General features: G+C 41.9%; 1 long non-coding RNA gene across 1 annotated transcript; it reads right to left on the bottom strand.

Moving 5' to 3' along the window:
• LOC107986061 (uncharacterized) lies at positions 2,456-20,643 on the bottom strand. Its single transcript, XR_001740592.2, has 2 exons — positions 18,394-20,643; positions 2,456-18,357 (listed from the first exon to the last, which is right to left on the bottom strand). It is a non-coding gene; the product is annotated as an uncharacterized LOC107986061 (long non-coding RNA).

Below are 21,771 nucleotides of genomic sequence, written 5' to 3' on the forward strand. Positions count from 1 at the left end.
TGAGGCAAGCAAAAACATGTCCACAGAAAAACTTGCACACGCATGTTCATTCAACAGTATTCATAATACCCAAAATGTGGAAACAACCCAAATCCTCATCAACTGATGTATACATAAATAAAATCTGTTCCATCTATACAACGGAATGTTATTCTGCCATAAAAATGAATGATACATGCTACAACATGTAGGAACCTTGAAAACATTATGCCCCAAAAGACTACATGTTGTATCATTGCTCTTATATGAAATGTTCAGAAGAGAGAAATCCATAGAGACAAAGAGTAGATTGGTGATTGTCTAGGGCTGTGAGGTGGAGATGAGAGGAGGATGAGACCTAACTGCTCCTCATCACACAGGGTTTCTTGTGGGGGTGATGAGAATGTTCTAAAACTGGATTGTGGAGATAGTCACACAGCTCTGGGAATATAATAAGAACACACTTTAAATGGGTGAATTAAATGGTATGTCAATTATGTCTCAATCAAGCTGTTTTAGAAATCATATAGAGTCTATTAAACAATTACTAGAATAAGTGAATTTAGCAAGGTTTCAGGATGTAACATCAATGTACAAAAATAAATTACATTTCAATATTCTAGTAAGAATTGGAAAATTATATTACAAAACAAATACCACTGACAATAGCATCAAAACACTAGCCAAAATAAAATACCCAGGAATAAATCTAATGAAAGGTATGTGAGATCTATAAACTGAAAATTATAAAATATTGCTTTGCAAAATTAAAATATTCCTAAGTGGAGAGATATAGCACGTCCGTAAATTGGAAACTCAATATTGTTTAAGATTTCCATCCTCCCTAAATTAATGTATAGATTTAACATAATCCATATCACATATAAGCAATCTCTTTTGAAGAAATAGATAAACTAGTTCTAAAATGTATGTGGACATGCAAGTCATCTAAAATAGCCAAAACAATTTTGAAAATGAAGAACAAATTTGGAAGCCTTTTGACTACCTGATTTTAAGACTCATTATAAAACTTCAATAATCAAGATAGGGTGATGTTGGTGTAAGGATAGGTAAATAAATCAATAGAAAAGACTAGCAAGTCCGGAAATAGGCACTATACATTACATCCTTGAAATGTGTATTTTACCACAATTAAAAATGCAAAAAAATGCTAATGTAGAAACTGAAATACTCAGAAAATAAAAAGAAGAAGAGCAATCATCCATAATCTCTCACTGTCTAGAGTTTACCAGGAGCACTTTTTAGTACACAGTATTTATCTTTTCCTGTCTCAGTGGTATAAGTGTATATTTGAGCTTTTTTTAAACAATTGGGGTCAAATTATATGTATTTGACATTTTTGTTATTGTGGTGTTAGCTTCTGAATCTAAGAAATGGAGCCAAAAAAACTTTCCTTAGTGGGAAAAAAGAATTAACTACTGATACATGCAACACTGTAGGTGAAGCTAAAAATACGTATATGTCTATATGTCAAGTGAATGAAGCCAGACCCTAAAGAGCACATGCTGGATGATTCTATTTATGTGAAATCGGAGAACAAGCCCAACTACTATACAGTGTTTGAAATCAGGAAGTAGTTGCTAAGGAAAGGAAGAGCTCACGCCTGTAATCCCAGCACTTTGGGAGGCCCGAGGTGGGTGGATCATTTGAGGTCAGGAGTTCGAGACCAGCCTGGCCAACATAGTGAAACCCCATCTCTACGAAGAAAACAAAAAATACAAAAAAAAAAAAAAAAAAAGACCCAGGTGTGGTGGTGGGTGCCTATAATCCCAGCTACTCAGGAGGCTAAGGCACAAGAATCACTTGAACCCAGGAAGTGGAGGTTGCAGTGAGCCAAGATCATGCCACTGCACTCCAGCCTGGGTGACAGAGTGAGACCCTGTCAAAACAAAAAGGGATGAGGATTTATTGGAAGGAGCATTGGGAATTGCCAATGGTGATGGAGATGTTCTACATTTTGTTCTGGGCACTGGTTACACAGGTATATGTTGTCACAACTCATTAAAGTTAACAGTTAAGATCTGTACAATTTACTGTTTCTCAATTATACCTCAACCTAAGAAAGTTTTCTAAGTAAGTGGACCAAAAACTAATCTATGTTAAAAGAAGTCAGAATAGCGGGCTACCACTGGGGCGGAGGGTATTGACTGGCACGGGATTGAGGAGGAAACCTGCTGCCATGCTGTGTTATTCTACATTTTGATGTAGATTGTGTTACATAGCTGTATAAATTTGCAAAATTTCATTGAGCTGTACATTTCAGTTGTATATGATTTGCTGTATGTAAGTTATATTTCCATTTAAAAACAGTGAATGGGCCTGGCCTCTGCCTCCAGTCACAGCTCCTTCTCAGTGAAGACACAAGAACTGGCCGAGAAGACCAGCAAAGATGGGCAGGTGGCTTCTCCCTGTTGGTGTTCAGAGAAAGAAGGGAAAAGGAATAGCTGCCACTGCATTGGTACAAGAGCTCCAACACTCCAGATTTTATTTCTTAATTTCCACATCGAGAAACTGAGATGACAATTTTATTTTTCTACACACAACAGCAGATAAGCTATATTCCAAAGAATCATTTGTAAATTGGCTGGTTGAATGCAGAACCCAGTGTCCACAGGAAGTAATGTCCTAAATGTCCATCAGATGCCCAGGCTAGCCCACAAAAGCTAGAAGGAAGAAGGTCATCAAAATACTATAGGATTTTGTTCAAATATGTTTGCAAAGTAATGCTCTTACCACAGTAGAAACTAAATCCATTGGAAACATAATAATGTTGAAAAAGACTTCATTTTCTACTTATGAATATTGACACTTGATGAAGAACTGTGTTGTGTGTAATTAAAGCAGGATGAGTAGGAAGTTTTTTTGGCAATATTTCTAAGAGGAAAGTCTGGGAACTTTCAGGAATTACCTGATTTCACTTTGATTTCAAAGTGAAATGGCCACGTCCCTTGTCTTGATAAGTGTCTGTACCCTGATGATTATAGTATGTGCTGACCATGATTACAATTGCTTCTTGATTCACAGTGAAGGAAAATGGGAAGACTTTCCTGGGGAAGTCAGGCAGAAAGAAGTTGGAAAGTAAAAGAAAGAATGAAAGGGGTCAGCCGTAATAATAATGCCTGGCCTTTCCATTCTTTTCTGTGTGATGCTATGTTACCAGCATCCTCACTTCCTGAGCTCAGGGTCCTCCCTCTGGGCCTCTAGCTACAAACAGAAAACAAAGCCACCTTAAACTACTAGCTAGAATTGGTTACCACGTAGTCATTTGATAGATTCTCCAACTCTGTTTTTTCAGTTACTGAATGTTTGATAAATCAACTCTTATTTTGTTCCCCTGCATGGTTTTAGTCATGGCAGAGATATTATCCAGAAGCTCTTTAGCTGTGGAAATGAAGAAACTTGCTTCAACCTCATTTCTTTACAAGGACAGTGATGTAGCCCAGGATGAGGCATAATGACCACCTGTCAGGAGCGAGAGGCTGTCACACTTCAGGAAATACAAGTGACATCATTCAAGTAGTGGGGACATTTGTTTCCTGAAGGCTGCATTCATTTCTTAGCCCGAGACAGGTGGGCTTCAGGGAGACTGAGTATCCTTGTGTCATGCAGCAGGAATCTCAGAGGTTCTAAAAGATCACCTGGACAGCTCCATTTCTTGCTAGTCTGTCTTACCATATGACAAGGGCTGACTCACAGACAAGGTCGCAAGGAGAATAAAAAAGATCTAGTGTGACAAATGTCAGATGGTCTGTGGGGAGGCAGGTGACCTGTGACCCCACCAAACGTCTCTGAATGGTGCTTCTAGAAGCTTGGGTGAATGAGCTTGATGCATTCTCAGGCTAAGCCAGCTTCTCCAGGGGCCTGAGCTACTCCCACAGTGCATGCTAGGTTGCAGCAGCTGTTGTGTTGATTCTTCTAACGTCAAGACCCAGCTTTGTCTTGTATTAGTTCTATGACATTGTGCAAGTGGCTATAATCACCAAGTCTCCATTTTCTCATTTTTAAGATGATAATAACACAGCTCGAGTTTTTGGTGTTAGGGATTAAATCAGGTAGCTGTATAAAAATAGTACATAGAGGAGATAAATAACTTCTCACAGGTGCTGAATTCAGGGAATCTCTCTGAAGTGTGGGAGAGATCACCTTTGACATTGTGAAAACCGAGATGCACATCTGAGAGATTTGGGCACGACTCTGTTGCAAATCTAAACTGTCAACATCACAGACTCATACTATATGAGCTCTAGAAAGAACCTTTGAGAAAAACTTGCCCAACTCACTTGTTTATGGATGGATTCTCATCCATGAGATGAAGGAATTTACTTGTTTGTCAGTCATTGCAACTGAGTTGCTTGCTCATCAGTTGTTTAAAAATGTATTCTCAGCCAGACATGGTGGCTCACACCTGTAGTCCCAGTACTTTGGGAGGCCGAGGTGGACTCATTTGAGGTCAGGAGTTCAAGACCAGCCTGGCCAACATAGTGAAACCTGTCTCTACCAAAAAATACAAAAATTAGCCAGGAATGGTGGCTTGCACCTCTAGTCCCAGCCCTCAGGAGGCTGAGACATGAGATCGCTTGAACCCAGGAGGTGGAGACTGCTGTGAACTGAGATCACGCCATTGCACTCCAAGCTGAGCAACAGAGTAAGACCCTGTTTCAAAACAAAAAACAAAAATAAAACAAAACAAAAAAAAAAACAACATATACTCAATAAATATTCAATGAATTTGTTAACTCATCTGAGGACACAGAACTAAAAAGAAAAAGCTCAAACTAGAATTCCATTTTCTTCTGACCTACAGAGAATAGGTTTACTGTAGTGGGTAAGAGTAATCCAGATCTTGGTTCAAATCTTGACTCTGCCCCGAAGTTGTGCAATCTCAGGCAAGTTATTTAACTTCTTATTAGTAAAATGAGGATAATTGTATCTATCTCTCAAAGTGTTATTGCAAGAATTAAACAAGATCATGGAGATCGAGCATGGGGCTCTTTCTGTTACAAAAGATCACATATTAACAATGACCCAGACAAAAAACAAGTGGGTCAAAAATCTGGATATTCAGTTGGCATCACATGAAGCCTCTAGATATTTGGTAATAGCAAAGTGAACTGAATTTCTAAGTTTGTCATCATGTCCTGGCTGATATCTACACTGCCTCTTCCAGGGCAGTCATACCTGACATGTCACCCAGGCCTTCGTGGGCTTTAGCTGCCCTCCCCAGGGCAGTCAGCACCATGCTGGCAAGAGTGCAGGTCCGTGCTCAGGAGATGGGGCACCAGAAACCCTCCCCTATCTGGACAAGTCACTGAAGCCCCTGAGCCTCCATTCCCTCATCTGTGAAAAGCAGGTAACAGTGCCTTCCATACAGGGATATTGTGAGGGATGGATAGCATCATTATTCTGGAAAGTGTACAGCACTTTAAAAGCAGGAGTGAGTTTTAATGTGCCAACCTAAATCAAGCTTTGGTCTAACTACAACACTGACTGAAATTTCTTGGGAGTTTCTGCAAATTAAAATTCTAACTTGGGGCTGATACAAAAAAAGAAAAATTCATTTAAAAAAATATAATGACTGGTGATTTTTTTCCCTCCAATTCATTGTGGGAGCCATTGCTAATCATGCTGACATTTTTCCAAAGAAAGATGGCTAGAGTTAATGCAGACACGTTGAGATGAGAGTCGCCTGGCCTACCCAATGGTGCTGCCAGAGGTAATTATAACACACCTGATATTTCCAGACCCCTTTCATTTTTCAGGGAGCCAAAGCACTTTGGAAAGTCAATCATTTAGAAAGGCATAGGGAAGACAATCCAATGAGCAATTGGAAGGATAGAAAATACCAAGTTCCTAAGGAACAGTAGCAGATCTGAAAAATGAACCTTTCTCATTTGCTTGAAAAGATGGATGGTTTGTGCCTGCATTTTCCTTCTCAGCGGTGGCTCCAACACCATGTCATTACACAAAATAATGACTGCACTTGTCTCAGGCTCCATTCGTAGTACTCACATGGTGACTGAATTTACTGAACGCAAAACAACTCTCTCCTTCTGATCTGAGAACAACAGGACTGCAGAGGGAGATTGCACAGTGTCTTCTCACACCTTGGCCTCAGTTTTGGGCAGTGTTGTTTTAATGCAGCCACTTTGACTCTTGGACAAAGTGATAGCCACACTTATTTTGAGAGCCTCAAAAAGAAATGATTAACCTTTGGGCATTTCTGAAATTTCCTGGTGATGTGTGCAATAACCCCCTTCACCCCTAGCACCGAGGCTCAAGAATGAAATTAAGGTGTAATGGGGGTACAGTTAGGTCTTGGGGTTTGGGTAAGGGACGGATTGTTGGTGTGAGGCATGGTGGTAGATTTGGGTATGGGGTGAGGGATGAGATGGGGTCTGATATGGACTGAAGGTGAGTATTTGGGTAAGGGATGCAGTTAGTGTCAAGGCTGGGATGAGGCTCAAGATTTGGTAGGGACAGATCAGGTCTGTGGTGAAGAATGGGCAAGGTACAAGAAGAGTGAGCCTTCATCTTTGGGTAGGGGTAAGGGAAGGGTTTATGTATGTGCCAGGCTGAGGCTCCGGATTTGGGCAAGCAATGGTCAGGCTCCACGGAGGCTCAAAGATGGATGGTTTGAGACTTAGGGACGGATGACAGGGAAGACCTCAGTGATGGGGTGATGTCTGTTGAATGCATTACTTGCTTTACATTTTTAAAAGCTGAAAGCTTAAGAGCTTATTTCTTAAGGCCGAGAAACATGTTCTCAGCTGCAGCAAAGCATTCTGCTCTGTCAGATAGCCCAGAGTTGGTCCAAAACAAAGGTGGGAAGTCGTCTGTGTTTGTGGCCCCTCCCTGCCTTTCTGTGGGGCTTCCCCACTTTCTGATAGAGCCACCTGGCAGGTGCCCAGCAGTTCTCAACAGCCTGTAGCATGGTCCTGGAGTCTCCAGCAAGCCATCCAGGTGTCATCAGCACTGGGCCTTGCAACCCGGAGCCCTGCAACCCTGTGGTAGAGCTGCACAGGGATGGGGAGGATCGCGGGATTTAGAGTCAAGAGGACCTGTGTTCTGGGCCTGGGTCTTAGACAAATCCCTGATCCTGAGCCTGATTCTTCAGCTATAAACAGCATTTTTCATACTTATCAGATGGGTTTGGAGATTGAGCAAATATGAAGGTATAAAGACCCTCCTAAGATGGTAAGAAAGTATGTTATTGTTGGCCTGGTGAGGTGGCTCACGCCTGTGATCCCAGCACTTTGGGAGGCCGAGGCGGGCAGATCACGAAGTCAGGAGATCGCGACCATCCTGGCTAACATGGTGAAACCCTGTCTCTACTAAAAAATACAAAAAATTAGCCAGGCGTGGTGGCGGGCTCCTGTAGTCCCAGCTACTCAGGAGGTTGAGGCAGGAGAATGGCGTGAACCTGGGAGGCGGAGCTTGCAGTGAGCTGAGTTCGGGCCACTGCACTCCAGCCTGGGCGACAGAGCGAGACTCCATCAAAAAAAAAAAAAAAAAAAAAAAAAACTGAAAGCAAGTATGTCATTGTTAATAATTGTGATCATCATCTCAGTACCAGAGACCAGACCCTGAAGAAGACACCAGTGGGCTCTGATGGGGGGACTCAAGGCTGTCACATAATCAGTACCAGCTCCTCTGAAAGAAAGAACTTCCACCCTCTGGATCTCAGATTGCTCACCTAAGTACCTGCTTTAGCAATCTGAAACTCTGAATTCCTCAACATTCCTGTGAGATAAGGAGGAGCAGAAACAGAAAAGGACTCTGGGAAGAGGCTTACTTCACAGGTCCAATAGCCACAAGACATTTGAGAAGCATAGATGGCTCTCTCTTTGCCCATCCTGCAACCCTGGATTCTACTTCAGCCATGCTGTTGGTGTATAATGCGTGCTAAGAGTCAACAACAAGTGCAGCTGGCTTCCTGATGCTACTGGGGCCTCCCTGAGTCCCAAACAGGCACTCAGGTATCACAGAGGCTGCCAACAAGCTGACAACTGGCTGGGCCAGCAAACAGACAGGGTAACTGCCTGTATACACAATTTAAGTCATGTGTATAGGCAGTTACCCTATATTCCTCCCACAGAGCCCCCAGATTTCACCATTACAAACCTAGCGCTATTGGTGTTAGCACTATCCTTTCCCCAATCTCTCTTTAAAATGCAAAGATCCCAGCCATGCACGCTGTATTAAGCCCTAAGTTCTGAGACTTCTCCTGCCTCCACAGCTGTATCTTTCCAGTCTCCCTTGTGAAGGCCTTTTTTGTCAATCCATCCCCTTACTCCTTGTCTTCTGAGATGACAACATTCACAGCCACAGCTTTACCTACCACCTACATGTGTGGGCATCCGAATCCAAGTCTCCAGCCCAGATTCCTCTCCTTGTTTCCAGGCCCATACATTCCTCTGCTTCCCAGACACCTGGCGACCCATAATGAACACCTCAAATCAACATGTCCATTGGGCAAGGCTTCATCCGTCCCCTCCTCTCCCAGATGCTCCCTCAGGGGCCCCTTTTTATCCATGGATGTCAGACACCTGGGAGTCTTGTGTTGATTCTCCCCACCAATCAGATCCTTCCACTTGTCTCGATTCACCTGCTTTGTTCAGGTCTAACTATATTCCACCTAGCACCACTGCAATATCCTACTGAATGGTCCCCCTGGAATCCATTCTCCACAGCACAGGCAGAATGCAAGTCTGCTGCTGTCACTCATGTGCTCACACACCTTTGATGACTCCCCATGAGCTGTGGACCATAGCCCACGCCCCAGGAGCTCCATCCTTTGACCCTAGCCCACCTCCTCCACCTCTTCTCGCACCTCAGCACCCTTCCTCTGTGCTGTGAGCCTCCATTCATAAAACCTATTCGCAGTTCCCAGATCTGGGCGCTTATGTGCATGCTCTAGCTCTTTCTAGAATGTTCTTTCTTATCTACTGCATGGGGCTACCTCTTACTTCTCCTTATTGACTCATGTCAAGAGCCTCCTTTCCCCTTGCCCCCAGTGGTAGACTAAATAACATCCCCCAAAGATATCTAGTTCCTGATCCATGAACCTGTAAATGTCACCTTAAAGGGCAAAAATAGCTTTACAGATGTGATTAAGGATCTTGTGACGGGGAGATTATCCTGGGTTACCCACTTGGGACCTAAATGCAATTACATGTATTCACGTAAGAGGAAGGTGGAAAAGAGTAGACACAGAAGAGGCGGGGGCAATGTGACCATAGAGGCAGAGACTGGAGTGATGCAGCCATAAGCCAAGGAGTGCTGGCTGCCACCAGAAGCTGGAAGACCAAGGAATAAATCCTCCCCTGGAGCCTCTGGAGGGAGGCCTGACACCTTGATTTTGACCCAGTGAAACTGATTTCAGATTCTGGGCTCCAAAAGTGTAAGAATAAATTTCTGTGATTTTATGCCACCAGGTCTGTAATAGCTTGTTAATTTGCAGGCCCAGGAAGTTAATCCACCCCACTAGACTGGACTAGGCCTCTCCTGAGTGCTTCCAGAGCCCCTGTGTGTCACCATGACCCTTGTCATGTAATGTGAATACCTGTCCACTTGTCTGCATCTCCCCAACACACTGCACTGGGACTCTTTGAAACAGGGACTTTTTGATCTGTATCTTCAGGGATTATCATGTAAGGGGCTTGAATAAATGTTGGTTGAAAAATGCAATGAATAAATATCATCGCTCACTGCCTGGCCTGACCCAGGACAATTCAACCCAGCTTAAATTCTTTGTCACTATATTGGGACCAATTCCCTCACCTTGGACCCCAAATACCAACTATTTGATGAATTGTGATGAAGACTCCTGCCCTGGACTTACCCTCTTAGTTATATTTCCAGAGTCAGTCTCTACAGCTCAGCATAAGCTCTGCTCCAGGGTGCTTAAGAATCACCCAGAGAGCCTGTCAATCATGCAACTTCCTGGACCCTCGCCCCAGAGAGTCTGAACAAAAGGTCTATGAATCTATGTTGTAAGGTCTGTCCCACCCCATCTCACTCCCCCCCACAGTCATGTGATTCTAATTCAGAGGAACTAAGACCTAAGCTTTGAGAAAAATGTGTCCAAGTGCCTGTCCTGCCCTTCTGGATATTGTCCCAAGCCCCAGCTCACCACGTCATTTCCTCTCTATCTGCCTGGGCTATGGTGAACTGACCCTCACACCCTGTACCCAAATTTCAGAACAAGCTACTGCACACCACAGAATCACAGGTTAATTAATAAGCTCATGTGCGGGTCCAAAGAATCTAAGTTCAGGAATTTGGAGTTTCTATAACTAGACCAGCAGGGAATTGAACTGTGGACGCTGTTGGCTGCCTCTTGGCAGCCATCTTACTCCATCCTTACCGAAGCCTGAATGTGTTCAGGTCTTAACCTCTCAATATCACTCATGAGTGACTCAGGGAAGATGTGTGGGCTTTGACTGCTGTAAACCACAATGGAGAGTCTATTAATCTTCTGGTCAATGAAGTCCAAGGAAAAGCTTCCTGGGGGATTTCTAAGTCTCTTAATATAAAACCTTGAAAAACAGTCTTTCGTCTAAGAGTACAGCCCCTGCTGCCATTGGCCGCTGTCCTCTGACCGAGAGCAAAACCAGCCTTGGATGCAGCTGACATTGGGTTAAGAGAATGGAGACGTGGAATGATTCCGGAGCTGGAAGACATGATTCTGCTGTTAGAAGAGCAAATCCCAAGCCCTGTCGTGCCCCTCAACTTCCTCTAGTGCAGTTCTGTGTCACTGAAATATCCCAACATCCAATTCTTATCAGCTGAAAGGGCTATATCTTGGGAAGCCCTGTCCCCATGACGTATACAGATGATTGATCGAAGGTCTAGAGGCAGAGATAAATGTAACAGTGTTGCTTGAATTATATATCATTGAGATGGCTGATGGCTGATGGTTGAACATCCCTGCTCTTGGGAGGTTTATTCCTAAAGGGACCCGGCACAATCACACCTGTCATGTTGGTTCTCACTTCTTGCATCCCATGGCCATGGTGCCATCTAAGGGTCTGTATTTGAAGTTCAAATGAATTATGTCACCAACTTATAGGAAGTTATGTGAAGAGCAGGGTCTCTACTTTACTCGATGGTTTTAGGAAAGTGGAAAGGAGATATCAGCTTCGAGGTTGTGACCACAGATACGGTTGAGTAATACTTTCCCAGGAGTGCTTGCTAGGTGAGCTTGAGAAAGTCACCTCAAAATAGCAACACTCCTTTGCTGGTGGAGCCCAGCAAAAAGGGAAGATTCAGACAAGGAGAGTCAGGCAGAGGCAGATCCCACCCTTACCTGGCCTTCCTGCTGTTCTTCCATGCAGCTGGTGAAAAGAATTGTAAAACAGCATGATGGTAGAGACTGGACTTCCAGAGTTGGATGTTCATGGATCAGGATCATGCCTCCACCCCTGGCTGGTTTAAAGTCTCTGAGCTTAAGTTTCTAATCTATGAAATTGTGGCAATTTCCTGTGACTGATGCAAGAATGAAATGCACTGATCTTAGCTCATTGACACATAGTAGGCACTAAATAAATGGTGGCTTTTGTTTTGATGTGTATTTTGATTGCTTGTTCTTATTCTTGGAGAAGAATGTTTTAAATGCACAGAACATGGTACTCCTCAAGCATTCTGATTGAACTAAGAGTTATCAATGACTTTCTGGAACAGCATCCAGGCCAAATCATCATTGCACCAGGGGCACTGTGAATTGCCAACTGTCTGGGCTCTGACTAAACACTTAAAAGAAAAGATGGCCTAGAGCTGGAACCCAATGAAGTGAGGCAGAGAATTGCACAACCGGGCAGAGAAGGAGGAATTCTAACAGCTATGGGCAGCAATGACAGAGCCATAAGCCTTCTGGAGCTATGCTAAAACTCCCATGGAAGGTGCTGGTCATTTCATCAAGCCGTAGGTGGTCAGACAGCACTGAGTCCCACCCACTCAGTATAGACTCCAGGATCCAGGAGTCCAGAGAAGGGAGGGGACTCTCTCAAAGACACACAGGGAATAGGGGGCTATGCTAGCATTAAAACTGAGGGCTCCTGACACCCAAGTCTATTGCTCCAATCCTTGAGGGAATCCTGACTAAATGTGTTGCATTTGCTATGACAGATCATATTTCTCCAGATTTATGTGTTTACTTGAACTAAAGTGTCCTTTCCACAGTCATGGGGCAAAATCGTGGAGGAGGCACAGGAAGCCTGTTTGTCCTCAGCCTCCTTTTCTCATTCCTCTCCAGCCTTCCCTTCCCTCCTCCTCATTCGCAGCTATCATCAGTCATACAGGGTTCCCCAGCTGCCCAGTCTCAGCCCCCCACCTTGTTTCCATCCTAGTGTTATCACAGTCTGTGATTATTTTATGGGTTGTTGACTTATTTTCTGTCTCTCTGTCCCCTACGTTGTTGTAAGCTCCATAAAGGCAGGGACTTCATTCAGGAACATAGTCCCAGTGCCTGGCACAGGGTAGTCACTCCATAAATATTTGTTCAAGGAACCAACCAACAAACTCACTTACATGGAGGTGATAGACCCTTACTCTATTCCCTCCTGTGGTGTAACGTAAATTGCAAGACGGAAGCCTCAGGAAAAGTAGGAATGAACTGGGAGGAGGGAACTAAGATATCCTGAGCACTTTCTAAGGGCAAGGCACTGAGCAAAGTAATTAAGGTACTTTATCCATGACAATGGCCATGCATGATAGACCCTCTGTGACAGATTAATGCAATTGATGCAATTGACCAAAAGCAATCCATCTACATTGAAGGAACTTAAGGAATGGGAGAAATAAAAAAGATTTTTGAGTCTGAGGTGGAATCTTCCTGGTTCCTCTCTTAGCACACTTCATAGGCAATACTTATACTGCCTGTCCGTAGGAAGAGCCTGCTTTGAACACCATGGCTCCTTAGTAATGGCCAAAGGAACTGTCATGATCCAGGCAGGTAGTTTTCAAGCCCGGGGAAGCTTTGTGCAATTTTCCCTACAGACATCCTTTGTTAAAATCAACAGAATTAAGTTACTGCATCTTAAGTAGACCCTTTATTCTAGACAAAAAAAAATTCTAGGAACTTTAAGGACATCATCTTATAGCTGTCTGGACAAACCCAAAGTAGCTGTGAATAAGTCTAAAGAGAGGGTCATATCTCAAAGAAAATTGGCATGACTTTTGTCAAATAGGTTGGACTTGAATCAGATTTATAGGAAACCCACATGGTTTTTAATGGAGCTGAATATGTAAAAGTGCTACCAGCCTACATTAAGATGTGGACTGAAATCTAAGGTGGCTCAAATATAAGAGGGCTTCTGGTCCCCAACTTTCTACAGAAAGGAATCAAATTGAGAAAGCTACCCAGCTGCAAATGAGGCCAGTCTTGGTAATCCCAAAAAGTGGCCTCAAAAGACAGAGGTAAAAAACAGACTGAGAAGTCACTCCCACGGAGCAGAGTTTAGGTCTAATCAAGGAATATTTCCTCCTCTTCAGTAGGAAAACCTGTTAATATTAGCCCAGCTGGATTTCAGTAGTGCTATAGACCAGTGAGTGTTATTTGCTTCTTATTTCCCCCTTCTGAATAAAAGTTTTCATTACATCTACACTTTACCTGTCTCACCAATGTGTTTTAGTGAGGTGTGGGTCAAGTCACTTATCTTCTTCATTCAGGGGTCTTCAAGTGAAGAGGAGCCACATTTGAAAAGTCTCATTGGAAACTGAGAGAGATCATGAGATCCAAGCTTGACTCCAAGTTTGATGTCATAGTTCAGTGAGAATTTTGTGGGGTACTGGAATGGGAGTAGGTATATTTGCATTTGGGAAGAATGTGAATAACTCCGGCCAGAGAATTCAATTTAATAAATTGGGGAAAAAATTTCCACAATCCCTCATTCCTTCCTCTGTCTATGCCATTTTGTAGTGCTACTCTGCATCATCAATGGAATCTATTTCCCCATCCTTGACTCTTGGCTGGCCTTGTGACATATTCTGACCATTTGTACACTTCCAGTCTCTCTCTTAGAATCCTGATACCACCATATGTCTTAGTTGTTCAAGCTGCTATGATAAAATACCACAGACTCAGTAGTTTAGAAACAATAGAAATTTATGTCTCACAGTTCTGGAAGCTGGAAGTCCAAGACCAAGGTGCTCCCATTGGTGTCTGGTGAGAGCTGCTCTCTGCTTTCAAGATGGTACCTTTTTGTTTGTCCTCATCTGGTGGAAGGCAAACTCTCTAAAACCTTCTTTCCTAAGGTCATTAACCCATTCATGAGAGTGGGGCCTTAATGGTCTAATCAACTTCCAAAGGCCCCACCTCATAAGACCACCACAACGGGGATCAAATTTCAACATGAATTTTGGAGGGGACACATTCAAACATAGCACCATGTAGACAAGCCCTGGTGTGCATACTGAATAATCTTAAAAGACATGTGACCCAGTCAGCTCCTTTGTCCCAGCTGACATCCAGACAATTGTCAGACACGTGAATGAGATGATCCCAAACCAGCTAGCCCCCAGCAGACCTTCCAGCCAGCCACAAATGCATGAGCAAGGCTGAGATCAACTGTGTCTGACCAGCTCAACAGCAGTGCTTATGTGACATGTGAACAATGAGCAGTAATAAATGGCCAGTAAGTTTAGCAGTGGTTTGTTACACAGCAAAAGCTAACAGATATACTATTCTTCAGCTTTTCCTTTCTGTTGTGCAACCTATATATTGAGTCTGTTATTCCAATAATTAGGTTTTCCTAATTATCTTCATCACTGGTTCTCCCTGCCTCATGCTTTAACAGCCTTCCTTCCTTCTTTGAGGGTTTATATTATGCGTATTTTTGTCTTGTTTTGTCTCATCCACTAATTCTGCTTCCTCTGGCTGAGATGCAGCTTGGCAGGCTGCAGTGAGGCAGTGAGCACGGTCTGAGATGGCCTGGGGCAAATGCAAACACACTTGGGAATGGAAGGATAGAGGCTAGTGCTTGGCATCCTAAATCACCAGTGCTAGAAGAGATCTAGGCCAGCACTTTCATTTTATAAGTGAGAAAACCGAGACCTAGAGAGGAGAAATAATTTGCTCAAACTCATGTAGCAAGTTAGTGACAGAGCTGAGTCTAGAATCTAGGTTTTTTCATCTCCAGCTAATCTCTTCCCACTACCCACTGCTTTATCTCCAATTTCTAAGATTTTGGAATCTTTGCTGGACCCCTTTTCACTTGGTTCTACAGGCTTCTGAGCCCCCAGATGTCCCCCTAATGCGTGCCACCCACTTCCAAACTTTATGACCTTCCTTGGATTCTAATCAGCCTGATCTCTTCACTGGTACCTTGACCTCCCACTGCTTCCCAATTTCTATACTGGAAGTTTTGCCATCCCTTTTGCCTGGGATGCCACACCCTCTCATCCTTACTCAGTCAATCCTGTGCATCCTTCAAGTCCCAGCTCAAACACTCTTCTTCATTTGCCTTCCTCATTCCAGTTTCCGCTCTCCCTATCCATTCTCTCTGCTCTGACCTTTTGGAACCTAAAACACGAATCAGATCACATTACTCCCTGCTGAAATGTTTAAATGACTTCTGATGCCCTGAGGTGAAGGCTCCCACAACTTCTCACTGTGAGTTAAGGGCCTGGTCCCTGCCTGCCTTCCTGGCCTTCTTCCTTCTCATCCTCCATCCTGTCCCTGAACTCTAGTCATGCCAGTCATCATCTTCCAAACTTCCTGTGCTCTCCATGTCGCCCCAACTTTTCATATATCCTTCTCTCTTATCCTGATAATAAACTTCTACACCAAATTCATGTCCTCTGATAATCCATTCATTACTCCCTCTGAGAGTCCCTGTATCCTGTTGTTCCCCAATTCAGTGCTTGAAAACATACCTTGACCACCACATATATCACACGGTACTGGAGCTGTTTAATTAACCAACTCCCTTATTCAGCCTAAGGCCAGGGGAGGCATCTCTTCAACCCTGAATTCCCCAGTGCTTAGCACAATACCTACCACATGGCAGAGGCTTTGAAATACTACATGAATAAATGAATGGAAGAATAAATGGATGAACGAGTAAACAGATGGCCTTGTCGTATTGTTTAACACTATATGAATAAATGAACGGAAGAATAAATGGATGAATGAGTAAACAGACGGCCTTGTCGTATTGTTTAACTTGTCAAATGTGAAATTTCTGTTTCCAAGGTGAAAAATAAATTCCAAGCATTCAGGAAAGAGGCCAGCATGTCTCTCCCACTTCTACAATGCCTAGCAATAGGGCCGGGAACAAAGTAAGGGCTGAGTAAAGACCCATCAATGGCTGACTCCCTGGCTTATTGTCCTGTCCTTGGTTCAGTTTCATTAGAGGGAAGAAATGCTCTTTATGGCTTCTTTCTCCTTCCTTCACCCCTGGCCAGTCAAGCCCAGGCTATTGCAAAATCATTTTTTAGAAATTAATCTCAGCAAAGGAGCAAATTATTTTGCCCTTAGTCATCAGAACTGGCCTGGTTCCCTGAGGGTGAGAGTGAAATAAACCTCTCTCTCTGCAGAGCGGACTATGAAGAGAGATTGGCTACTCCTGGAAGACTGGTTGGATGGTTTTGATGATGGAGTTTACCAAGGAAAGCAAGGAATCATCTATTGGTGAACAAGGTTCTGAATCAGTCCCTGGATTGTGTCCTAGAGGAATAACGAGAATCATCAGATGTGGACTCTGTCCTCTAAAGCTTCCAGTCCAGAGGCGAGAAAAGAAACGTGGATATGAAAGTATAAAATCAAAGCTATAAAGTGCCACAAGAATGACTCGCTCCATAATTCAACCGACATTTTGTTAGCATTTACTATGTGCTTGTGTGCTGGGCATTGGGGGATGCATAAGTGAATATATGATTTCCTTCTACAAAGGGACTATGAAATAAAGGGAGAGGAAAAGGGATGCCTTATGATGGGGAGTGGGGAATGATCCTACCCTTGAAAACTGGGTAGGAATTTAGCAATTAGAAATTGGACTATTCCAAATGCGGTTGGAAGAAAACTCCTATGATAACCCCAATTAATGCAGTAAGAGCATTTAATAAAATTCGACTTACTTTCATGTTAAAAACAAAAACACTTAACCTAGAAATAGTAGGGGGCATTTGATTAACGTGATAAAGTGCTTCTACAAGAAGTTACAGAGGGCATTATAATTAATGTTGAAATATTGAAAGCATTCCCCTGAAAATCAGGAGCCTGAAAGTTAAGGATGTATGCTAATATCAACTTCTATTCTACACTTAACTAGAAGTCCTAAATGGTACAGAAGATTAAAAAGTAAAGATATATGGATTGTAAAGGAAGAAACAACACTATCATTATTTGCAGATAATACGTCTGTCTGCAAAGAAAACTCCAAAGAACTCTCAGGTAAATCATTAGAATTACTAAGATAATTTAGTAAGGTTGCTCAGTCCAAAATAGACAAAAATAATTTCATTTTTATATACAAGCATCAGGCAAAAAGTGACTTTTTTATTTAAAAAAAAAAGATATTTACCATAGCAACAAAAATAGGTACCTAGAAAAAAAATAACAAAAAAAGGAAGCTCTTTATAGAGAGTATGATAAAACCTTATTAAGAAATATATTAAATAAGACCTAAGTATGTGGAGACATAAACCCTATCCGTGGAAGGAATTGTAAATATGTCAGCTCTCTTCCAATTGATCTAGAGACTCATTGCAACTCCCGTCACAATTCCAACAGAGTTCTTCATGAATACTGGCAAGCTGATTCTGAAATATAAATGGAAGAACAAAAGGCAGGGAATGGCCAAGACATTCCTGAAGAGGAAAAACAAGGTGATGATTCTTGCCCTCTCAAATATGAAAATATATTTAAAGCTTTAATACTTAAAGCAGCGTGGAGTGCTGCAAATAGATCAGTGGCACAGTATGGAGAGAGATCTTGTACCTACCCATGCATTTATGGAAAATAGATTTATAACCATGCAGGTGTGCTTGATGGTTTATTTGTTCACCCAGATGCAGTCTCCAACCTGCTCCACTCAGTTCTGTACTCCAGAGCAGACCTCTGTGGCCTGCATTGGTGGGTTCCCTGCCCTCTGGCTTCCAGCTGGGTTATGGTGGATTTACCACCAAATCTACAGGAGGGACAGCATGAGGTTGAGCAGACAGGTGTTTAGTCCTCTGGCCAACTCTGTCTCTCCTGGGTCAAGGTGATTGGTATGTTTCTCTGTGGAAGTCTCCCCTTCTATTTGGAGGTCTTCCTCCACTCCTCCCTCTGGGTCCAGTAACTCCTGCCTTTCCTTGACTCTCAAGGTTAGAAGTGGTAAGGGTTTCAGCTCTTGCCAGTTGAAACTGCTTCATCACCTATTAGTGATGCTTCACTAATAGGTGCTTCATCACCTATTAGTTTCCCTTACCTCAGCCTCTCCTTTGTAAATACTGCCTTTTTTAAACTCTCTTTAATGTTAATGTTTGAGTGTGCCTTCTGTTTCTCGCCAGTACCCTGATTGATACAGGCAGTCCTGCAGATTGGTGAGGAAAAGAAGGCTCATTCAGTAAACTGTGCTAGGAAAACTGATGACTCATGAGGGAAGAAAATTATAAACACAAAAATCAGTTCCTCAGACCTCAGTATAAGAAAATATACTAAGATAAGAAAGTATGAGAAAGGATTTTATAAACAAGATATATAAATACACCAACTGTAAAGGAACAGGTTAATAATATTCAATACATTAAAATTAAGGACTTCTGTTCATCAAAAGCAACTTGAAAGGAGTGAAAAGACAGTTCACAAACTTGGAGAAGACATTTGCAAAACTTAAAGCCAACAAATAATTGTTACTTAGACCTCTGCTGTCCAAGATGGCAGCTATTAGATATATGGCTATTAAAACTAAAAATAGACTGGGCACAGTGGCTCACGCCTGTAATACCAGCACTTTGGGAGGCCAAGGTGGGTGGATCACCTGAGGTCAGGATTTTGAGACCAGCCTCACCAACATGGTGAAACCCCATATCTACCAAAAATAAAAAAATTAGCTGGGTGTCGTGGTACATGCCTCTGTAATCCAGCTTCTTGGGAGGCTGAGGCAGGTGAATCACTTGAACCTGAGAGACAGAAGTTGCAGTGAGCCAAGATCGCGCCACTACACTCCAGCCTGGGCAACAAGAGCAAAACTCCATCTCAAAATAAATACATAAATAAATAAACACACTAAAAATAATATTGAAAATTTAGTTCCTCTGCTGCACTAGTTTCAAATGCTCAGTAGCATGTGGCTAGTGGCTACCATATTGGACAGTGCAGACAGAGAACATTTCTATCATCACAGAAAGTTCTGTTGAGAAGCCCTTATCTAGAATATAGAACAGCTCCTAGAAATCACTAAGAAAAAAAGCAAATAGCCCACAATGGTTAATTTTATGTATCAACTTGACTGCACCATGGGGTGCCCAGACCAAACACTGCTTCTGAGTGTGTCTGTGAGGGTTTTCCAAGATAAGATTAGTATTTGAATCAGTGGACCCAGTAAAGTAGATTGCCTCCTCAATGTTGGTGGGCATCATTCAACCCATTGAGAGCCTAGATAAACAAAAAAGGCAGAGGAAGGAGGAATTTTTGCTTAATGTCTTTGACTGAGCTGAGACAACTGCCTTCTCCTGCCCATAGACTAGTATAAAACTATCAGCTCTCCTAGTACTCAGGCCTTTGGACTCAGAATGGAATTACACCACCAGCTTTCCTGGGTCTTCAGCTTGTGGACAGCAGATCATGGGACATTTCAGTCTCTGTAAACATGTGAGCCAATTCCTCACAATAAATCTCTCCCTATGTATCTCCTATTTGTTCTGTTTCTCTGGAGAACCCTGACTAATACATAGCCCGGTCAAAAAAAAATGAGCAAGATAAAAGAACAAGTATTTCAGAGAAAAGTAAAGGCTTTTGGTCCCATACGAAGAAATATGCAACCTCAACCCTCAACAGACATCAGAGATATACACAACGTAAATTATTTCATGCTCACCATTTTGGCAAAGTCAATACCAAGTGATAGCAATATTATAGCACAATAGAAAGTCACACACTGCTTTGAGATTGTAAATTGGTACAATCACTTTGGAAAAGAGTTTGTATGACTAAGTAAAATTGAAGATATGTATATCCTATAACCCTTCTTGCACACCAAGAAATGTGTAGAAGAACATTCACTACTATATTGTTTATATTATATGTATCTATAGTTTATAATACATGAAAACCAGAAAAAATACAAATGTCCATCTACAGTAAAATGGAAAAATACACTGAATATCAGTGGAAAACTATGGAGCAGGGAAAATAAACATCATCTTGGATAAACTTAAAAAACATAACCTTGAGCAAAAAAAATGGAGACACAAAAGCATACACTTAGAAGATGTCATTTATGTACTGCTCCAAAACAGACAAAACTAAACAATATAATTGGGAATAAAGTACAGGTTCTAAAACTGTAAAGAAGAGCAAGGAAAGCTGAACACAAAAATGAAGCTAAAAGTTAGTGATGGCAGAGAGAGAAAAATGTAATCAGAGCGGGACACATAGAGGTTTCTTCTTAGAAGAAGTGATAATTTTCTTTCTTAAATAAAAACAATTTTGAAATGATAATAACAAAATTTTAAATGTTTTATTTTTTTTTTAAATTTTTTTTATTTTTATTTTTTTTTGAGACGGAGTCTCACTCTGTCGCCCAGGCTGGAGTGCAGTGGTGCAATCTTGGCTCACTGGAAGCTCCGCCTCCCGGGTTCATGCCATTAAATGTTTTATTCTTAACCTACGTGGTGATGCATAGGTTGTTTGATTATAATATATAATAACACATTATAGTACAGATGGATATATATATATATGTTTTCTTTTTCTTTGTGTACTTTGTATACTTGATATTTATTTCTCTAAGAAAAGAAACTTCTATTTCTAGTAATGACTGATCAGATCATTGAGACCAACCTCTCCACTGAGAACAGCTACAAAAGCTAAACACAATAATAATGACAACAATAATAATTATTTTTAAATAAATATTTTAATAAAGAAAATGTTTGAAGCCTTCAGAGGATGAATAAAGCAGAAAGGATAACCAGGTCATGCTTTAAAAGAAGATATAATCCAAGAATTTGAGGCTACTTTCCCCCCAGGTAATTTGTTAATTCTAGAAGAGGAGGCTGACAGTCTGAGAGTCCAAACAGTGCTCTTGACACTTTTGTGAGTCAGGTGGACTTCCCCGGAGGAAGAAGATAATATAATCCAAGACCTTAGTTATTGGGTTTATGTTGGAAAATCAATTAATATAACATATTTTTTCAATACAACATTAACTTAATTAAGGGGAATTCATGTGATTATCTGCATAGATACAGAAAAAGCATTTTTTAAAAAATCAACAATTAGTTAGTTAAAAAAAAAAACTCCTAACAAATGAGGAATAGAAGATAACTTTCTGAATGAGATAATGGATATTTTCAGCAAGCCCACTGTAAAAAAAATTAAATTTATGATGAAAGATGGAGTTTTCCCCTGATCATCATTTCTATTCAACATTGTACTTGAGGTTCAAGCCAGTGCAATAAAGAAAAATAAATAAAAGGTATAAAGATGATAAAGGAAGAAATAAAATCAGTTGAGCAGGCCAGGCGTGGTGGCTCATGCCTGTAATTCCAGAACTTTGGGAGGCCCAGGTGGGTGGATCAGCTGAGGTCAGGATTTAGAGACCAGGCTGGCCAATATGGCAGAAC

Source organism: Homo sapiens, chromosome 3 (assembly GCF_000001405.40).
Source record: "Homo sapiens chromosome 3, GRCh38.p14 Primary Assembly".
NCBI lineage: Eukaryota > Metazoa > Chordata > Mammalia > Primates > Hominidae > Homo > Homo sapiens.